The sequence below is a fragment of the Homo sapiens genome, chromosome 20 (genome assembly GCF_000001405.40).
Source record: "Homo sapiens chromosome 20, GRCh38.p14 Primary Assembly".
Classification (NCBI taxonomy): domain Eukaryota; kingdom Metazoa; phylum Chordata; class Mammalia; order Primates; family Hominidae; genus Homo; species Homo sapiens.
Window position 1 is genome coordinate 2456598 of NC_000020.11, and position 20898 is coordinate 2477495.

Sequence of the window (20898 nt, forward strand, 5' to 3'; positions counted from 1 at the left end):
TTGAATATTTGGGGGGCTGGGACACAGTATTTTATTTCTACAATCATTCTTTAATGAGCATGTTTAAGTATGTTTTTTAAAAAAACAGAATACATGAACTATGGAATAGCATGCCTGTGGGCCTGACCAAGCAGAATGCAATTTTTTTTTTTAAGACAGTCTTGCTCTGTCGCCCAGGCTGGAGTGCACTGACATGATCTCTGCTCACTGCAACACCCCCGCCCCAGGTTCAAGCGATTCTCGTGCCTCAGCCTTCTGAGTAGCTGGGATTACAGGTGCGTACCATCATGCCCGGCTAATATTTGTATTTTTAGTAGAGACAGGGTTTCACCATGTTGGCCAGGCTGGTCTCAAACTCCTGGCCTCAAGTGATCCACCCACCTCAGCCTCCCAAAGTGCTGAGATTACAGGCGTGGCCACCCACCGTTCCTCGCCAGAATACAAATTTAAGTTCAACAGCAAACCTAGTGCCTTTAATCTCTTACTTAGTCCTCGCAGCCACAGACCAATTTACTGACGTGAACTAAGGTTATAGACACTTACTATGAAAACTGGAATAGAGCTCATATAGGTGAGAGCACATTCAAATTCTCCATCCAGACTTCTTTCACCACCAGAGACTTGGGAGTTACCTTAACGATACAATGGTCAGAATACCCAGATGTCTGATTACAGACTTTTCCTTTTGTTCTTTCTCTTTGTCAGTGATTCTCAAAAGCCAGCGTGCCTAAGATTTTTCTATGAAGGGTTGTATACACAAAACCATATATGCTGTACTTCAAGAGAGTTTGAGTAGATTTTCAAGAGTAGTTTTGAGGATACAGAATTTTTACTGTGCTAACCATTAGCCAACGTGTGACTGCTTTTTTTTCCTTTGCGTGATTATCCTTATTATTTGCATAATAAAAATAAGAGTACTGGCCAGGCATGGTGGCTCACACCTGCAATCCCAGCATTTTGAGAGGCCAAGGCAGGCGGACCACCTGAGGTCAGGAGTTTGAGGCCAGCCTAGCCAACGTGGCGAAACCCTGTCTCTACTAAAAATACAAAAATTAGCCGGGCGTTGCGGTGCATGCCTGTAGTCCCAGCTATTCGGGAGGCTGAGGCAGGAAGCCGAGGTTGCAGTGAGCCGAGATCACACCACTGCACTCCAGCCTGGGTGACAGAGCAAGACTCTGTCTCAAAACAAGGGGGAAAAAAAAAAAAAAGACTACTGCCTTTTAGCTCAGGCTGGGAGTATAAAACCCTTTTGGATCACACCTGTCAGGGAAGTGGGAAGCTAGCTGCCTTTGCAGTTTGTGCTACTCAGGGTTCCTGTGACACTGAGCCAACCATTGGCTCTACCAAAAGCTGATGCCAAACTCACCTCCCTGATGTCCTTATTCTAATAAACCTGGACCAACTTCATCTTTACTCAGCCTTTTCCTCCACTGGGAATATCCTTTCCACAACAAAAAGCCTTAGTAAACTTTTTCTGTGAAGAAACTTTTTTTTTTGAGATGAAATTCACATAGCAACAATTAACCATTTTAACAATCACAACTCAGTAACTTGAGTGTATTCACAAGGCTGTAAAACCACCAGCTCTCGCCCTATAAAAGTATCCTATTCCCATTAGGTAGGCACTCCATTTCCTGCTGCTCCCACCCCTGGAAACCTCTAATCTGCTGTCTCTACAGATTTATCTATTACGGGTAGCAAATATCCATATAAAAGCAATTATATAATAGATGATCTTTTGTGTCTGGCTTTTTTCACACTACACAATGTTTTCTAGGTTTATCTACATGGTAACATGTATCAATATTTCTTTCTTTTCAGCTCTATTATATTCCATTGTATGTATTGTGAAAGTTGTCAGAACCAAAATGGAGTCACTTGTATGTCTTTTAAAAAACCCTGCCAAAGCCGAAAGGCTATGAAGGGAGGATTCTGATGCATAAATGATAAAAAAAAAAAAAAAAAAAAAAACTACTACAAAAGACTGTAAAAACACAACCTTGCACAAAGGCCACTGCAACCTTATATACATACAAAAATATTTCTGCAAGGACTTCTGCTTGTTCAACCTCAGACTGGTGCCACCAGGACTTGTTATTAATCCCTGGAGTTAGGGATAGTTATCCCAAGACAATTACATAATCCTTGTTTTTCCTTTTAATCTGTCTTCCTTTACCTCCCTGAATACGCATAGTATGGCACATGGACTCCCACTGCAATGCCCCATTCATGAATAGGTATCATTTTCTTTTACGGCCTCCGTTTATTTAGGTTGACAGTATATACCACAATTTGTTTATCCATTATATGTTGAATATTTTGGGTTGTTTCCACCTTTGGGCTGTTATGAATAATTCTGCTAAAACCAGTTGTATACAAGTTTCTGTGTATCAAACTACCTTTGCAAAAGTGACAGTAAGAGAAATCTGACATGGCTGACTCCATCTTGCTTCTGAACTCAACAGGCCTACGTCTTGGTAGAATTCAGGCCCCTCTCATCCTCTTCACTTGAGGGTCTTTCACTAGTTTTATAAGGGCAGTTTAGCTTTTGGGAAGAGCTCATCAAATCTTATTGTTGACGAGTTTTTATAGAGCTTTATCTCCAGCCACCTCTGCTCCAGGAGGCTGGTGGGTGGGAGTGAAAGTTCCAACCCTCTCATCACTTGGTCTTTCTGGTGGCTGGCCCCATCCTGAGGCTAGCTAGGGGTCCCACTCTAAGTCATGAACTCACGTATTATCCCATTACACAGGAAATTCCAAGTGTTTTTCAGTTGCTGTGATAAGAACCAGGAAAAAAGGCTAAATATATTTCATATTACCACAGATACATATATCTAGGAGTGGAATTGCCATATAGTAATTCTGTTCAGCTTTCAGGAACTGCCACTGTTTTCCATAGGGGCTACACCATTTTACGTTCTCACCAGCAATGCATGAGGGTTCCTGTTTCTCCACACCCTCACCAAGAGTTATTTTTTTCATAAATAAGCCATCCTCGTGGGTATGAACCGGCATCTCATTGTAGTTTTGATTTGCATTTCTTTAATAACCAATGATGTTGAACCAGTTTTCATGTGCTTTTTGGCCATTTGTGTATCTTCTTTGGAGAAATATCTGTTCAATTCCTCTCATTTTTGAAAAAGGTTATCTTTTTTATTAAGAATTTTTTATAGTTCAAATAGCAAACTACAGATATCAGACTATCATATCGTTTGCAAAAATATTCTCCCCTTCCATAAGTTTTTTTTTCATTCTTCACCATTCTTGGATGTACAAGTTTTTAATTTTGATGAAGTCCCATTTACATATTTTTTCTTCTGTTGCTTGTTTTCAATGTCCAATGCAATAATCCATTGCCAAATCCAAGGTGATGAGGACTTACTCATTTTCTTCTAGATCTAGCTCTTACAGATTGTTTACCAATTTTGAGTTAATGAGTGATAAATGAAGGCATATGAGGTAGAGTTCCAACTTCATTCTTTTACATGTGGTTATCCAGTTGTCCCAGCACCATCTGAAAAGACTACTCTTTTCCCAATAGATGGTTTTGGTACCACTGCAGAAAATCAATTGACCATTTATGTAAGGGTTTATTTCTGTACTCTCATCTATCCATTGTCTATCTTTATGCCAGATGCAGTGTTTATTACAATTTTGTAGGTTTTGTGAGACTTCTAATGTGATCAAGATTGTTTTGGCTATTTGGGGCCTTTTGTAGCTTCATATATATGAGGATTAGCTTCTCCATTTCTGCAATGACCACTGGAATTATTATAGGGATTACATTGAATGTTTGGAGACTATTATTTGTTACTTTAATAGTAAGTCTGGATCCATGAACATGTTGGCTTTCCTCATCTACTTAGTTTTCTTTCAGGATTTGTAGTTTTCACCTTGGTTTGATTGATTCCTGGGTATTCTGGTATTGCTTGCTTTGATTCTTAGGTATTCTTTTGGTTGCTATCCTAACTGGAATTCTCTTCCATTTCCTTTTCAGATTGTTTGTTGGTGGTGTATGGAATAGTTTTTATGTGATCTTGTACCCTAAAACGTTGCTGAATTCACTCATTAGCTCTAGTAGCTATCTAGTTGATGGGGTTTTCTATATACAGGATATCTTCTGCAGAGATAGTTTTACCTCTTCCTTTCCAATTCCAATTCTTCTTTTTCTTGCCTAATCGTTCTGGCTAGAACTTCCAGTACAATGTTGAAAGTGGCCAAAGTGGGAACCCTTGTCTTGTTCCTAATCATAAGGGTAAAACTTTCAGTCTTTCACTATTATGTTAGCTGTGTTTCATAAATCCCTTAATCTTGTTTAAAAATTGCCTTCTGAGCTGGGTGCAGTGACTCATGCCTGCACCCCGCCATCTCTTTAAAAAAAAAAAAAATTCCCTTCTACTCCTAATTTGCTGGGTGTATTTATCATCAAAGGGTGTTGAAATCATCTCAAATGTTTTTTCTGCATCTGTTGAGAAGATCCTATGGCTTTTTTCTTCCATTAATGTGGTAAGTACCACTGATTGCATTTACAATTATCTTCCCCCTACACAGTAACTTTACAACAGTGTTCACCTTATTTTTGTACCCTTAGAGCTTGATGCACTAAGTACTAGAGTGCTGCTCAGTGAACACAGGCTTTGGGTGGAAGAACTCATGAAGATACCACAATTCAAAAGTTACGTTAGGTTATATGTTACGTGTGTGACCCTGGCAGAAAGTTATGCCAAAATTGTTCCTCTCCCAGCAGAATTTTCATTTTTAGCATTTGCTTCATGGAGAAGCTATCTAGACAAGTGCCTTCCCAAGAGGATATTATGGGTACTGATTTCAACAAAACTGATCTTTGAATCTGATAAGTGAAAATGTTCAATTTTGTAAGTATCTTAGTGTATGAGGATGTACAGATGCAAATGGGTAGTAAAACATTTTATAGGGAAGAAGGTAAGATCAGGGTTAATTTTTTCCAAGGCAACCCTTCTTGACTCTATTAAGCACCCAATATATCAAAGATTTTTCTAAAAATAAAGATCCATAGGTGCAATTATAATGTTCTCTTAAGAGTTTATTATAAACCAGTTTCATAGGCCACAAGGAGATAAAAGGACTATGTACAGCCTTACGGGAAACAGGCAGGGAGCTGAGGAGGGCCAAGATGAGTCTAGGGCCTTGGTGGGCGCATTCCCGGGGGAGGGGGCCCTGTAAGGGAAACCAGACAATCCCATGAGACTCCACGAACAACAGCATAAGAAACAAACAGGTCTGTGGTAACGTGGCCCTGAGGAATCGAGCCCACGCCTCTGCGGAGCTACTTCCATACTCTGTGGCCAAGGGTCAAAGAAGGCCTGAAGTAAGAGTAAGAAGTTTAGTCAGTGCCTGATCTGCAACTTGAATCCCCAACCCTGCCCCAGCCTCCCACGCCCTGCAGTAATCGAGTGAGGAGAGGGGTATACATGGCATATGTGCTAACTAGGGACTACTCTGAGGCTGACTGGGTTCCTATGTCTATAAAAACCCATAGAGGAATAATCCAGACTAGAGAAACAGGGGTCACCAAGTTTGCCCATGGGTTATCTTATAGGGAAAGAACACTGGGCTTGGAGTCCAAACTCCCTGGGGGCCTATTTTCTCATCCATGTGGGGACTGATCTCAGAATTTCTCCAACTGAAGTTAAAGAGAAATCCATAATAGTACAGCAAAGCCCAGAGCCCCCTCTTAATTACTAGGCACTGTCAAACCAAAGAGCATAAGACAATCTCATAACTTCTGTTAGGGATCCTCAGAATGCATTATTTCATTGTGTCCTGAGGCCGCTGCCTTAGATATTGAGAAACACCCTGGGTGCATGGCTGCTCTAACTTTTCTAAGAGGGGAGGTAAGCCCAATTTAAGAAATGTTCCCTCTTCTCTTTCCTTTCTGGATTTCCCTAGATTTAAGGCTTGAAAGCCCATGGGATATGATCTAAATGCAATCTTCCCTCCATTTCCTATCCCACTAGGCTCTAGGGAAAGAAGCCAAAGTCACCACTGCAGGCACTTACCTCGCATCCCAGGGGGAGGAGGCCGCATTCCCGGAGGGGGCATGCCCATTGGAGTCCCTCTTCCAGGGGGGATCCCCATTGGGGGACCCATAGGAGGTCTCATACCAGGAGGTGGGCCCATCATGCCTGCAAGAGAAAAGCCCCAAGAATATAGCTCAAGTGTCTATCTTGAAAAGGTAGCAAAAAAACTACAAAGCTTTCCACCAAGTTCTGAGATAGATGGACCATTCCACCCTCTCAGCAGCTCCCAGAAAACTGACATTTGAGCCTAACACCCAGGGCTCCCAATGGCTCTTGTCCACCTAGTCTCATCAGTCAGCCACGCTGGATCTCAGAGTAATCCTGCTTAATTATACAAACTCATCATCAGCTTCAGTCAAGGTTATATCTCATCATTAATCCAGCTAAGGCATCTTCTATCAATTAGCACTGGTCTCCTTATGGGCTCCTCACCTGGAGGGGGTGCTCCTCGGCCCATAGGTGGGGGAGGACCCCCACGGCCAGGTGGGTACTGGGTTGGAGCCCCGGCAATACTGGCTGTGGCAGCAGCTGCAGCGGCTGCAACAGTACCTCTTCCTTGTGGGGTCATCACCTAAGAGGACATAAGAAGAAAGAGTTAGAAGAGTACAGTACAATGCAGCTTCCCACTCTCCTCCCCAACTTGGGGAAGGACAGTGGGAAATAACAGACACCAAATCCCTTAATGCTACAACTCTCAGCACCAGACTTCCCATCCAAAACCACATGTCGGGAAAGATCAAGCTTGAATGCCCAACTCCCATCTTCTAGACCTGAATGTAAGCATGTCCAATCCAAGTGAGAGAAGGCAACTGCATTTTCAAATATGACTCATGATTTCAAATGCTGTCATGGAAATATTTTCCTTAAATACAGTTGGCTAATTCGTACATCTCTTTAATAGCATCAACATAATTTACAATGGCAACTTATCCTTTTCACTTGCTTCTAGGGCCATGTATAAACCACAGTGAAACACTGATAGTCTGACAATCACAGGTTGGTCACTCTGGACCCTTTTAAAACTATGGACCCTCCCCTTTATCCTTTATTTTAGCCACCAGGAGGTGGTACCCTTTCCCCAACTCCTCACCTGTTGGGATGGCCCGCCAACCCCACGGACTGGCCCAGCAAGTCCTGCAGGAGCCTGGGGCATGGGAACCCCAGCTGGGATTCCTCTGCCAGCAGCCCTGCCGATCCCTGGGCCCCCGGCAGCTCCAGCAAGTGGAACTCGAGCAATACCAGTCTGAAAAATAAACAAATATGCTCTGATGCCCAGTGATCTGAAGATCAGAAGTATACTTTGGAATATCATTGCCAAGAGAGCCCCTCGAAATAGCTTATAAATACTATCGAAATAGCTTATAAATACTACCTCTCCATGTGTGCCAACACCATTCTTCCTCCATCCAAGACTATGAGTTATCCCTGAAGCAGGGTAGAACTTAAGAGTAAGTCTAGAGAAACATGCCACAACTCAACCACCTATATGCACTCCTGTGAAAGTTAAACCAAGAGCAAAGGGCCAGGGTTCCACTCAGGGTTCAGCAGGCAAGGCATTAAAGGGACATGAGATCCATTCCCAGCTGATTCTAATCCGCTAGGTGACAATGGACAAATAATCCCACAATCCCGGGCTGAGTTGCCTTATCTGCAAATGACATGGTTATGGTACAACTGGTTGTGATCACAAAGGTTTATGATGGGTTATGTTAGACCAGCCAATTCTACTGGAAGTAGGTACTAAGAGATTTGAATATGTACATGGACTTTGAACCAAGATATGCTAACATCCCTTGCAGACATTTTTAACTGGAAAAGGCAAAAACGTAAAAATCTCCAAAAAAGAAAATGATTAGGATAAACTACTCTGTACTCATTTGAGAAAATCTCAGTCATTAACTTGACTTTAAAAGTGTTGAGCAACTAGAAAAATGTTAACATTAAGTGAAAACACAGAACAACATAATATATGCCCACTATGTGTTAAGTACAAAAAAATCCAGATAATATATGTGGATTTTTAAAAAGTTAAAAGGATTATTCTCTTTTGATTAAAATAACGTCTTGGCAGGGCGTGGTGGCTCACATCTGTAATCCCCGCTACTCGGGAGGCTGAGGCAGGAGAATCACTTGAACCCGGGAGGCAGAGGTTGCAATAAGCCAAGATCGTGCCACTGCACTCCAGCCTGGCGACAGAGCGAGACTCCATCTAAAAATCTAAAAAAAAAAAAAAAAAAAACCCTTCAAATGAAAAAGGGAAAGGGAAAACAAATTTGACTAGGTCTCTAAAGCCTGCTCTATTTCTATGTGTAGCTTGGTGTTTACAGAATCAAGACTGTCTGAGATCAAATGTCAGTTTCACCACTTAGTGGCTGTGGCACCTTGGGCAAGTTACTAAGCCCTGGTTTATTCTATTTATAAGATGAGAATTTATCTCTAAAGAGACCTAAAGGATCAAATAAAATACTGAAGTGGTTGGCGCAAGGTAGATTCTCAGTAACTATGAACTGTAACTGTACAAAACAAAATACACACATTTCCTATTGTTTCGGAGTTACAACTTTTTAAGGTCTACCTAGGCTTTGTCGTCACATTAAGAACTGACCCAGATGGCTTCAGGTGCTTCCTCCACTGACTCACTATGTACATCAACTGAGAAACAGGTAGAGCTTTAAAGTCTGAGATACCCAAATTCTAGTTCCCCTTTTCCACTTCTTTCTTGCAGGGTAACCTCTTTTTTTTTTTTTTGTCTTTTTTTTTTTCTTCCTTTTTCTGGAGAATGGGGTCTCGCTATATTGCCCAGGCAGGTCTCGAACTCCTGGGCTCAAGCTATCCTCCCGCCTCTTGCCTCCCTGAGAGCTGGGATTACAGATGTGAGCCACCGCGCCCGGCCTCTTGCAGGGTAACCTCTTTAAGATTTCATTTATTATCTGAAAAAGGGGGCAAAATCCAGAGGATGCCTGTGAGAACTGCAATGAAACAGAATCTAACACAGAGCCTGGCTCACAGTAGGGCCTCCCCTCCTCCACAAGGCTTCCTGCTCTGACTTACATCTTTGGGAGGAGGTCCCTCTACTGTCATTGAGACCAGATTCTCCCCTCGCAGCAGCACCAGACCGAGGACTCGCTTCTCTTCCCTTTCTGCTTGTTTGGAGTTCTTTGGCCTAAAGAGAGGTTTAGAAGGAACAAAAAAAGTGTTAGAGGTGGGTAAAGTTCACCTGCCTAGTGGCCTCCAAGATTTGCTTATACTGCATCTCCTAACAAACAGTACACAAACTTTCCCAAGATAGCCCTCCTGGATAGTCTCTACAGGCTGAACACATAACCTCTTAGGTGGCTATCTACCTGTTTCCTACCATGCCAAGAGGACACACTGACCAAGAGATAGGACAAGGTCAACAAAGCCCAGCCCGGGCCCAAATGCTATTCCACAGCAACCGTGAAGGCCCTTCCCTCAGCCAAGTCTTCTTTCTTAGGACCCTATTCCCTCCCTTCAGCTTAAGGTCTTGCCAACATCAGGAGGCTGCCTAAACAATTCCAATCAAATGACTCCCACCCACCTCACTTACGTGCAGTGTCCTTCTAATATCAATTCAACCTCACAGGCCTATAATTCTGCCCCTCATCTTACATCAGAAATAGGAGAAGCCATAGAAGGAAAAGGTTAAGAGAAATTTCACATACACAGAAATTGAAATTTCATATCTGTTCCTCAAAAGCATAAAAACAGAAACCCCCAAAAAGCAACAACCAGAAAAAGATGAACAAAATATAAATGTGAAGTAGGAAAAATAACTGCAACAGGATAGGAAAGTGGGGAAAAAAGCTAAAGCTAGATCCTAAAAATAAAGGGGAAAAAATAGCCTGATTTAAAAAAAGAACTCAAAAGATTTTGTTTTGATATTTTACAGTATATTAACTGGTTGTCTGTGGATGGACAGTTTTTCCCTTTTTTGGCTCACATTTTCTTATTTTTTAAAATAATAACCATGTATTGTCCTTTCATAATTAGAAAAAAACCCTTCGGGGTATTTTAGTTTCTATTCATAGACTTCTTTGTATTTTCAAAAATATTTTCCAATAAACATTTTTTATAATCAGGAGGGAACTTTGGAGTAGCTCCACGCTCATCTGTTGGCCCCTCTCTAATACGTACCTGGCACCAAGGCATCCCTACCACATTTTTAAACTATACTTCTTGACCTTGGGTCACAGAAGAAATCAGCCCCAAGGAGAATCAAAGGGAATTCAAAGTGAGTGACAGAATAATATGGACACTGCATATGACAAAAGAGCTGCTGGCCACGGAAGTCACATCATCTTTTTGTGCCTCAAGTAGCCTTGAATGTAAAACATGATGGGAAGCTAAATCATATCTTTTAATGGGCCAAAAGCTTAAGATCTGTGAGACTCAAGGCAAGGGAGTTAGCCAATAACTTACGGAATTGTAGCAAAGTAGACAATATCTCCAATTGTTTGTATAAATGCCAACAAAAATCACTGGCCCCAAACCCACATGGGGAGCTGAGCACTTACCCTGAAGAGGGTCAGAGGCTTCTTAAAGCAGTTTCAGACCAGGCTGCATTGGGAGAGCCCTTTAGGCTACAGCTTTACAAATAGGCAATGAGGCCAGAAACTCAAGCTCTCCCCCCTCACACACCTGTGGGGAGAACATGAGAGCCCTTTACCCCAGTACCCAGGGGCACGCAAAGTGAGAGAAACAAAAAGCCTAGCAGCCCTTCACAACTTGTACTTTGCTAGACTAGAGAGCAAGGTTTGCTGGACTCAAAAAGATTTCTTAGCGTTCAATGTCCCCATTTAAGTCTGCCCTCTAAAACTGGAGAATAAACAGAGAAGAACCAACTAGCTACATCACCACCTCTATTGCTTGGCCCACCCACTCAATCCATTCCCATCCTCCAGTCTCCGCCCCCCACAGTCCACTCCTCACTTGATCTTTCTGAACTCATCACAGTCACAGAGGATCAAATTCATGTGCTTGTCAAAAGCCTTGAAGGTGCCAATGAAGATCCGGCCGTCCTGCAGGATGCACCTCATCCTGTAATCAATATGCTGCAGCATCTTGCTGCTCTTGCCCACCGTCTGCAAGGAGAAATGGACAGGGATGAGACTCTGCTCTTTTGGACCCAAGCACCTCTGGCCCTCCCCAAAACTTCCCATGGCGTTCTTGTCCATGTGTCCAACTTTCTCAACAGATTCTTAGCTCAGTCTCCCACCCACAGCCTTTTCCTAGGAATTCTCCCATGCCACCCTGTTTTAGCCCTGACCTCTACCCAGTAATCTGCTATTCTCTCTTCCCTTGAAATCGGTCTTTCTCATATTATAATTGCCTTTCTCCTTGTCGTGTCAGTTGCAGGGATGAGAGTATAGGGTGTCCCCAAAATAATCCAATGCATACATACTAGAGCCATCTACCAGTGTGCAGATTATAGATATGTGACTCAAGTGCTATGGAACATTCAAATCTCATTAAAAACACTGAGTAAAGGAAGAGCTAGAATAGGGCTGAAACTAAAAATCTAATCAACAAGAAGCTTGTTATCAGGAAGGAGATCAGCTTCAAGGTGAAAAATGAAATCCACATATCAAGAATTTGTTAGTGTGCCTCCAAGACTATATTTGGCAGAGGGAAACTTCTGATGGTTAGGGTGCTAACCAGTTTGGACATATAATGGTCTTTAACCCAACAAACATTTCTGCTTTCATAACCTGGGTTCCAATGTGCTAAAATAAAGAAGTGACTATATAGGTATCACTTTGTGAACTGTCAGGTACCCTAAGCAGTTGTATTTCTCTCTATAAACAAATCACCTGGCATTTGATCTGTATATCATCCTCCCATCAGTCTGACTGCTATACCCAAGTCCTAACCCACCAAGTGCCTTCTATGGACATCTGTTCATCTCTGTGAGCTCAGACAACAAAGTTCTGAACCTGCAAATATGCAGATCAAAACCTTGACTCCATGGCCGGGCTCAGTGGCTCACTCCTGCAATCCCGGCATTTTGGGAGGCCGAGGTGGGCAGAACACCTTAGGTCAGGAGTTCAAGACCAGCCTGGCTAACATGGCGAAGCCCCGTCTCTACTAAAATTACAAAAATTAGCCACACGTGGTGGCAGGTGCCTGTAATCCCAGCTACTCGGGAGACTGAGATGGGAGAATCGCTTGAACCTGGGAGGTGGAGGCTGCAGTGAACTGAGATCATGCCACTGCACTCCAGCCTGGGTGACAGGGAAAGACTCCATCTCAAAAAAACAAAAACAAAACTTGACTCCACACAAAGATACTGCGAGCCTCCCTCAGGTTAGGTGGTTCAGTTTCCATTCAATGACCATTTTAACCAGCTTCTAACCACAAGGGATCTGAACCTTTAGGGCAACATTCACTGGTCCAGCTCAACTAATGTTTACTGGGTGCTCACTGTGTATCTGGCACTGTGATAAGCACAGTACATCTCATTTAATCCCCAAAATTGGGCCCATTATTATCCCTATTTTACAGATGAGGTCACTGAGGCTAGGAGAGGTTAAGTAACTTGCCCAGTTTCACAGCTGGGAAGCTGTGTTGGAACCTAGACAAAATGAATCCAGCGCCTATTCTAACCAGTTATCCAAACAATATCCTACCAGGTTTCCCTGCTTCCAGTCCCATCGAATATACATGCCAGAGCTAGAGCAATCTTTCTAAACACCACTAAGCTTATGTCATTTTGCTGGTTAAAATCCTTCAGTGGGCAGGGTGTGGTGGCTCACGGCTGTAATCCCAGCACTTTGGGAGGCCAAGGTGGGTGGATTAACTGAGGTCAGGAGTTCGAGACCAGTCTGGCCAACATGGTGAAACCCCGTCTCTACTAAAAATACAAAAAATTAGCCAAGTGTGGTGGCGGGTACCTACAATCCCAGCTACTTGGGAGGCTGAGGCAGGAGAATCGCTTGAACCCGGGAGGTGGAGTTTGCAGTGAACCCTGATCGATCCACCGCACTCCAGCCTGGGCAACAAAAGCAAAACTCCGTCTCAAAAAAATAAAAATAAATTAAATTAAATCCTTCAATGACATGCCTCACCACCACTGAGGTAAAATTAACATGCAAGGCCTTTAGTAACTAGCCTCCTGCCAATTCTTCCCGTCTTCCCTTCTTTCTTCCTTTCTCCTCCAGCAACTTTTTCTCAGTCAACAAACGCAGAAAAATCCAGTAACTTTTTAAATCTTGTTACCCTTCAGCCTTTGTTCCTTCAGTTCTCCGGGTCTGTAATATTCCCCCCATTTTCGCCGGGAACATTCTTGCTAATCTTTTAGGAATCTGCTCAGGAACCATCTATTTGAGAAAACATTCTTACCCCGCCCCGCTGCCGTTACTTTTACCGAATGACCACACTGAATTATATTATGTGTCCCCAGCTACCTCTGTGAAGGAAGCAAACATATTTCAGAGAGTAGCCCCAGCGCCTGAGAAGTCAGGCACAGGCAAACACGGAAACGTGATGAGCAACTGAGTGGAGCTCTTCCTCCATTCGCCATCACCCTCCTCCGCCCTCCTCTCCATCCAGCAGACCTAGCGAGACTCTAGCGTGGTCCACGAGCCCCTTCCACCCACTTCCGCCAACTCTTTCTCAGACTCACAAACTTCCGCAAGTCTGAGCCTTTTACCGGGTCCCCCTGCGGCTCCAGTGCCTGCTCCGAAGCCCGGGACATATATTTATTCGGCAAAAGTTAACTTAGTGCCTACTGGGTCCCAGGAATTATGGCTACAGCGGTGTCGAGAGCCGCGGTTCTACCCTCGCCCCTGCCGAGCGACCTCGGCCTCCGACACCGGTTCCAACCTTTTCCTCGACCCCATGCCTAGCCGAACCGCCAAGGTCCTGGTCTTTCCCGCCCAGACCGAGCGGCCTCGGCCCAGGCCTTCACCGCCCTAAGTGGCTCCAACCCACGGCTTCCTCCCCGATCAGTCGCGGTTCCCACTCCACAACAGACTCGGAAGCTCCCGCGCCGCCAGCCTGTGCCCTCCTTACCATGGTGGCGGTTCTGATGGCTCTGATACCCGCCGGATTCGCCTCCTCAGAGGCCTAGCCTCTCTCCCACAGCCGATTTCCCGCCGCCGCTACCGGAAATGCAGCACCACGTAAAATGCGGTCGGGTAGAAACCTACTTCCGGTCCAGCTCACTAGCCCTGGAGTTCCGGCCCCGGAGCGGAGCTTCTGCCGAGCAGAGGCGGGGCCTGGGGACTGGGCGTTAACATCCGGCTTTGACGTAAGGAGAGCCTTAAGTTCCTGTTTGGACACCTTCCTAGCTTAAATCCGTACTGAGAGCTGCTCTGTGTCACACTCATTTCTCTTCACCCCGCCTTTCCCATTAACCTCTCGGTCCTCATTTCCCATCACCCTCCCCGGCTCTCTCCTCTACAGTCACTATTCTTGCTTTTCCCTCCACTGGCTGGACGTGCTCCTTTTTCAGCCCCTCTGCATTTGCTTTCGCCTCTGCCTGGAATGGTAGTCCCCAAGGTATACCAGAAGGCTGCTGCCCTCACCTCTTTCAAGGTTTAAGCTTAAATAACATTTTCCCAGTGAGGATTTCCCTAGCCATCCTGTAACCTTCCCACCCACCTCATCCTCATCTCTCCTGTATTTCCCTCTTGCTATCTAACACGCTGTATATTTTTGTTAGTTATTTTATTATCCCCTCCCCATTAGAATGTAAGATCCATAAGGGTGTGAATTTTTCTCTTTGTGTATTACTCATTGCTGTAGTGCCTAGAACACTTTAGCACAAAATAAGGGCTCTACCCATATTTGCTGATAATCGCATCCAGTCGTATGACATTTATTTTTTTTCTATGACTTTTTTTTTTCTTTTGAGACAGAGTCTCAGTCTGTCACCAAGGCTGGAGTGCAGTGGCACAATCTCGGCTCACTGCAACCTCTGCCTCCCCGGTTCAAGCGATTCTCCTGCCTCAGCCTCCCGAGTAGCTGGGAATACAGGCCTGTGCCACCACACTCGGCTAATTTTTGTATTTTTAGTAGAGACGGGGTTTTGCCATGTTGGCCAGGCTGGTCTCGAACTCCTGACCTCAACTCCTGGTCTCGAACTCCTGATCCACCCACTTTGGCCTCCCAAAGTGCTGGAATTACAGGCGTGAACCATCACACTGGGCCCTTCCTATGACTTTTAAATACAGCATATACACCCAAGGCTTTCAAGTTTGTTCCTCTAACCTTGGTCTCTTCATTTAACTCTTGGCCCTTTATATCCAGCTGCCAGCGTGATGTGAATGTCTAATAGGTATACCAAATTTAACATGTTGAAAACTGAATTCTTGATTCTATTCACTGTTTCTAAAACCACTTCACCAGTGTTCCCCATCCCCGAAGTTTCTTGGATTAAAAAAGAAAAAAAAGAAAATGACAAATTTGAAGCATATTTCATTCTTCTCTTTCTCTGCCATCGAATAATCAAATTCATCAGCAAATCCTGTGGCCCCCACCTTCAAATTATCTTGAATATGATTGTTGTCACCCACTCCATTGCGTCCACTCTAGTCATAGCCACCATCGTCTCTGTCTTGGATCATTGAACGAGCCCGTAACTTGTCTCTTTGCTTCCTTTCTTGTTCTCACGGCAGCCAGAGGGATCCTTCTAAACGTACTGGGATATCAGATGATGTCATGTCCTGGTCTCCACTTACCAAAAACTTCCCAGCACACATGGAATAAAATCTAGCTCTGCGCTCCTCTCCAACCTCATTCATCTCCGTCAACATTGCCCTCATTCATCCTTCTCCAGTCACACTAATCTCCTTGCTGTTCCTCAAACCCAGCAAGGAGAGCTTCCACCTTGGTGCTTTGCCATCTTCACACCATCTCTAAAGGGTGTGTTCTGTTGTCCCGTTTCCTGTCACCTGTAGATGAAGAGGCGAAGCCTCATAGAAATGAATTATGTTGCCCAAAGTGGCGGAGTCAGAGTGGGAATATAGGTCCGTCTGGCTCCTCAGCTGTTCATTTGCCCCCACCTTACCCAGCTGCCTAACACTTCATTCATGCATGCATTTAAAATCATTTTTATTTAGCATCTACTAAGGCCATGCACCATTATTGGGATAGAGTCCTTTCCCTCACGGAGCTTTACATCCTACTGAGAAAGACATAGTAAACCAAATAAATAAGTATGCAATGTAACATTAGAGTGATATGAAAAAAATAAATAAAGGCAGAGGAACTGAGAGGGATAGGGTACAGTTTTGGCTAGGTGGTCAGGGGAAACTTCTCTGAGGAGTGGTATGTGAGCAGAGACCTGAACCTACACTCAGGTCTATCAGAAGGATGAATATTATGAAGGACATTCTAGAAAATGTATATAAAGGGAATCATATAATAATACGTGGTCTTTTGTGACTACCTTCTTTCACTTAGCACAATGTTTTTAAGGCTCATCCATGTCATGACACGTATCAATACTCCATTCCTTTTTATGGCCAAATAACATTCCATTGTATGGATGTACAGTAGTCCCCCCATATCCATCTTTCACTTTCTGTGGTTTCAGTTACCCACAATCAACTGCAGTATAAAAATAGGTGAGTACAGTACAAGATATTTTGAGACCACATTCATATAACTTTTATTACAGTATATTTTTATAACTGTTCTATTAGTATTGTTAATCTCTTACTGTACCTAATTTATAAATTAAACTTTATCATAGCTATGTATGTATAAGAGAAAATAGTATATATAGGGTTTGGTAGTATCTGCCGTTCCATGAATCCACTGGTGATCTTGGAATATAACCTCCTCAGATAAGGAGGGAACTACCATATTTTATCAGTTCATCAAATGACGAACATTTGGATTGCTTCCACCTTTTGGCTGTTATAAATAATGCTGCTGTAAACATCGTGTACAAGTCTTCACGTGGACATGCTTTCATTCCTCTTTGGTATCCAGATAGGAGTGGAATTTCTGAGTCATATGATAATTCTGATTAACCATTTGAAGAACTGCCAGACTGTTTTCCAAAGTGGCTTCACCATGATACATTCCCACAAGTGGCGTATGAGGGTTCTGATTTCTCCACATCTTCACCCATATTTGTTATTATCTGACTTTTTGATTCAAGCCATCTTAATGTGAAGTGCTATCAATTTCATCGTGGTTTTGATTTGCATTTCCCTCATGACTAATGATGTTGAACATCTTTTCATGTGCTTGTTGGCCATTTATATATCATCCTTGGAGAAATGCCCATTCAGATCCTTTTCTCATTTTTTAATTGGACCATTTGACTTTTATTATTGAGTTGTAAGAATTCTTTCTACATTACAGATACAAGTTCCTTGTCAGATATATGATTTATACAGGTTTTCTCCCATTCTGTGAGTTTTTTTTTTTTTTTTTTTTTTTGAGACAGAGTCTCACCCCATCACCCAGGCTGCAGTGCAGTGGTGCGATCACAGCTCACTGCAGCCTGACCTCCAATGCTCAAGCGATTCTCCCACCTCAGCCTTCCGAGTAGCTGGGACTACAGATGCATGCCACCACGGTGGCTAATTTTTGTTATTTTTTTTTTTTTTTGTAGAGACAGGGTTTCACCACGTTGCCCAAGCTGGATTCAAGCAATCCACCCACTTCAGCCTCCCAAACTGCTGGGATTACGGGCATGAGCCACCATGCCTGGCCTTTTCACTTTCTTGGTAATATCCTGTACAAAAGTTTTTTAATTTGGATGAAGTCTAATTTATCTTTTTGTTGTTGTTGTTGCTCATGTTTTTGGTGCAATAAGAAAAATCTTTTCTGCCAAATCTAAGATTATGAAGATTTACCCCTTTGTTTTCTTCTAATAGTTTTATAGTTTTAGCTCTTACATTTAGATTTTTGATATATTTTTAGTTCATATTTTATATATGGTATAAGGTAGGGTCAAACTGTATTCTTTTCTAAGTAGATATACAGTTAGCTCAGCATCATTTGTTAAAAAGACTCTTCTTTCCCCCACTGAATAATCTTGGCACCCTAGTGGAAAATCATTTGACCATTGACACATGGTTTTATTTCTGGACTTCCAATTCTATTCCTTTGATCTATATGAAGTCAGAAAAAGTGTGAATCCTCCTCCTTTTTCTTTTTCAAGGTTGTTTTGGCTATTCTAGATGCCTTGCAACTCAATTAGTTTGCCAATCTACAAATAAGGGAAAAGAGGTCATGAATTCAGAGCCGGGGATTAAACAGGCAATTCATCTGGTATTTACTTGATAAAATGGTCCCAAGTTTCAGTCTAGATCAGGGGCGGGCAAACTTTTTTAAAATATGTATAAGACTGGTTAGTTTCCAATATTTTTTTTGTTAAGGGCAGAGAGCATTTTAGGGCTATCGAGCCATTTGGTCTCTGTTGCAATTACTCAACTTTACCATGTACCATGGAAGCAGCTATACTCAATACCTAGCAAATGAGTGTGGCTGGGTTCCAATAAAATGTTATTTATGGATACAAATAGATGTCACAAAATATTATTATCCTTTAAATTCTTTGCGACCATTTAAAATGTAAAGACCATTTACATTTTGTGTAAATGTAAATGTAAAGACCATTTACATTTTGTGTGGCTCAAGGCCACACAAAAACATGTGATCAGCAAGGATTGGCATTTAGGCTGTAGTTTGCCAACCTCTGATGTAGACCATTAGATTTCTGTGTCTAGATTCAGGGTCACAGCCCCAGCTGAGTATTCATAATTAATAGTTTTGACTTGCATTATTTATTTGGCTTATCTCTGGGCTCACCAAATATATGCAGTCAAAATTCATGTCTTTTCCCTCATTTTAAAAACACACACATATACCTTCACACTTGTATCAATCTACGTTCGACAGGGAGACAGAAACCATACAGTAATTTAAATTAAAGAATTATTTTGCCAGGGATGGTGGCTCATGCCTTTAATCCCAGCACTTTGGGAGGCTGAGGCAGGCGGATCACCTGAGGTCAGGAGTTCAAGGCCAGCCTGGCAACATGGTGAAACCCCATCTCTAAAAATACAAAAATTAGCCGGCTGTGGTGGCGGGTGCCTATAATCCCAGCTACTCAGGAGGCTGAGGCAGGGAGAAATGCTTGAACCAGGGAGGTGGATGTTGCCGTGAGCTGAGATCGTGCCATTGCACTCCAGCCTGGGCAACAAAGCAAGACTCGATCCCCACCCCCCAAAAAAATTATTTTCCAAAGATAAATGTAAATACAAAAAGAAAATCCTACAGCTGAGGGGGATTACCCAAGGATAAACTTGGAAGGAGGGTTCCCTCCCCAAGGCTAGGGTTCAGTCCTTCTTGGAGTTGTGGTTGCAGCCTACTGGATAGCAGAAAAGTTTGAGGGGGAAGGTTGTGCAGGCCAGAGTTGGTCCACAGTCACTAAGCAAGCAGAAATAACCCTCTGGGGCACAAGCAAGCCAAAGCTGGCAAATAGTACACAGAGGGAATTGGGAATACAGAGAGAGCTGGGGTGTTGATGTTGACACAAGGCCTGGATCACATGGTGTCTGTGTGGGGAAGGCCTAAGGAAACAACAGGAGCCAAGGTTAATGGGCGGATGAGCGGAGGCGGCCAAGGCGCTGCTGTGGGCACTGCTGGAAATGGAGGCTGGAGAGCTGCAAGAACCTAGTACTCTTCTGTGCACAGCTTGGGCTGGGAGACCCAACAGTGGCTACTGGGGCCCTAGTGTGCATGCACTAGAGCTGGGGAGAGGGTCAGTGTGGGCTGGGGAGGCTCAAGCCTCCGCACAGGAGGAGGTCAGGTGGTCTGCTTGCTAGACGGCCAGTCCCGTGGGGCCCCCAGCATTTGTACCAGTGAGGCTGCAGAGAGGGTATGGCAGTGGCCTGGGCTGGGGCACAGGCCTGTGCTGTTTAGGCTCCCAACTGAGCCACCAGTGCCTGAGTGGAGAGCTGGACAAAACATACTCCTATGGTGGCCAATTGGTAGAAAAAGCTGTGTCCTGCAGGCATTTAGCACGGGAGAAAACTTCACTGGCCATGGAGTAGAGTAAAAATGGGTACTCTCACAGAGGTTGCAGTGAGCCAAGATCACGCCATTGCACTCCAGCCTGGGCAACAAGAGCAAAACTCTATCTTAAAAAAAAAAAAAATAGAAAAGAAAAAAAACAGGTACTCTCCAGGACCTGGTGAAAGAGCCACCTGACCCAAGAAAGAGGACCCTTCTCCCTGCAGTGTTGCTCTGGTGCCCTCTACTGATAAACCTTATGCCAGCTGGCAAAGGAAACACGTAAAGGGCCCAGATCCATTTTCACAGACCAGGCAACACAAGAATTTGAAGCTCAAACAATAAGTTGATAATTGGCACAATTTCACATACACACACAGACGTACTCTACCACATAGAAAGGCACAATCCTGGACGCAGATGGGAAAAAGAGGACACCCAGTTTGACTTACCCTCTAGAGAAGAAACTATTCTTATGGTAAACACAGATAAGAGGGGTGTTGACTTTCTGCTTGGATTCCTGGAGTGGTGAGAACTTTTTCTCTTTTGCAAATGTGTCTACTGTTCGAAAGCTGTGTTTGTGAGAGTCCTCTTTTACATTCTTGCCTGTCTTCTACATTCAGGCAATCACCAAGTGCTTTGGAGACAAACCCTATGAAGTCTATCTTCTCTTTCAGTCCACTCTGCTGTTGCCATAGCTTGTTATAAATTTTGCCTGGACAACTGCAATACTTCTGACTTCCCAGATTTTTACTGGTCTCAGTGCTGTTTATCACACTTCCTTTCATTCTCTTAAGTTTCCTCTCGGATTCTCTGCAATATCTCTTCTAGATCTCCAGCC

The 20898-nt window shown here is 43.5% G+C and overlaps 1 protein-coding gene and 1 non-coding gene across 3 annotated transcripts, besides 3 other annotated features; both read right to left on the reverse strand.

The window, feature by feature from the left end:
- Positions 5045-14192, reverse strand: SNRPB (small nuclear ribonucleoprotein polypeptides B and B1). 2 transcript variants are annotated; one of them, NM_198216.2, is made up of 7 exons: positions 14091-14192; positions 11010-11161; positions 9111-9222; positions 7150-7302; positions 6492-6630; positions 6039-6164; positions 5045-5196 (listed from the first exon to the last, which is right to left on the reverse strand). In NM_198216.2, the coding sequence occupies exons 1-7, from the start codon at positions 14091-14093 to the stop codon at positions 5159-5161; spliced, it is 723 nt and encodes a 240-aa protein (NP_937859.1). In that variant the 5' UTR covers positions 14094-14192; the 3' UTR covers positions 5045-5158. The 2 variants fall into 2 exon arrangements, with proteins under 2 accessions (NP_937859.1, NP_003082.1); NM_003091.4 differs by having other exon boundaries at positions 5045-5342.
- SNORD119 (small nucleolar RNA, C/D box 119) lies at positions 6355-6450 on the reverse strand. The gene has a single exon (NR_003684.1). It is a non-coding gene; the product is annotated as a small nucleolar RNA, C/D box 119 (small nucleolar RNA).
- Positions 13812-13931: an enhancer, noted in NCBI's record as "active region_17465". NCBI's record gives its function as "activates an Ori minimal core promoter by ATAC-STARR-seq in GM12878 lymphoblastoid cells {active_cell/tissue: GM12878}" and the evidence as "EXISTENCE:reporter gene assay evidence [ECO:0000049][PMID:35858748]".
- Positions 14092-14141: an enhancer, noted in NCBI's record as "active region_17466". NCBI's record gives its function as "activates an Ori minimal core promoter by ATAC-STARR-seq in GM12878 lymphoblastoid cells {active_cell/tissue: GM12878}" and the evidence as "EXISTENCE:reporter gene assay evidence [ECO:0000049][PMID:35858748]".
- Positions 14152-14201: an enhancer, noted in NCBI's record as "active region_17467". NCBI's record gives its function as "activates an Ori minimal core promoter by ATAC-STARR-seq in GM12878 lymphoblastoid cells {active_cell/tissue: GM12878}" and the evidence as "EXISTENCE:reporter gene assay evidence [ECO:0000049][PMID:35858748]".

Bases quoted from the DNA above. Each gene is read 5' to 3' on its own strand.
- SNRPB (NM_198216.2), bottom strand. The intron at 7,303-9,110 runs GTAAGTCAGAGC...TTTATTTTTCAG, and splicing joins AGGGACCTCCTCCCAAAGAT to ACTGGTATTGCTCGAGTTCC. The intron at 6,165-6,491 runs GTGAGGAGCCCA...TTTCTCTTGCAG, and splicing joins CCGAGGAGCACCCCCTCCAG to GCATGATGGGCCCACCTCCT.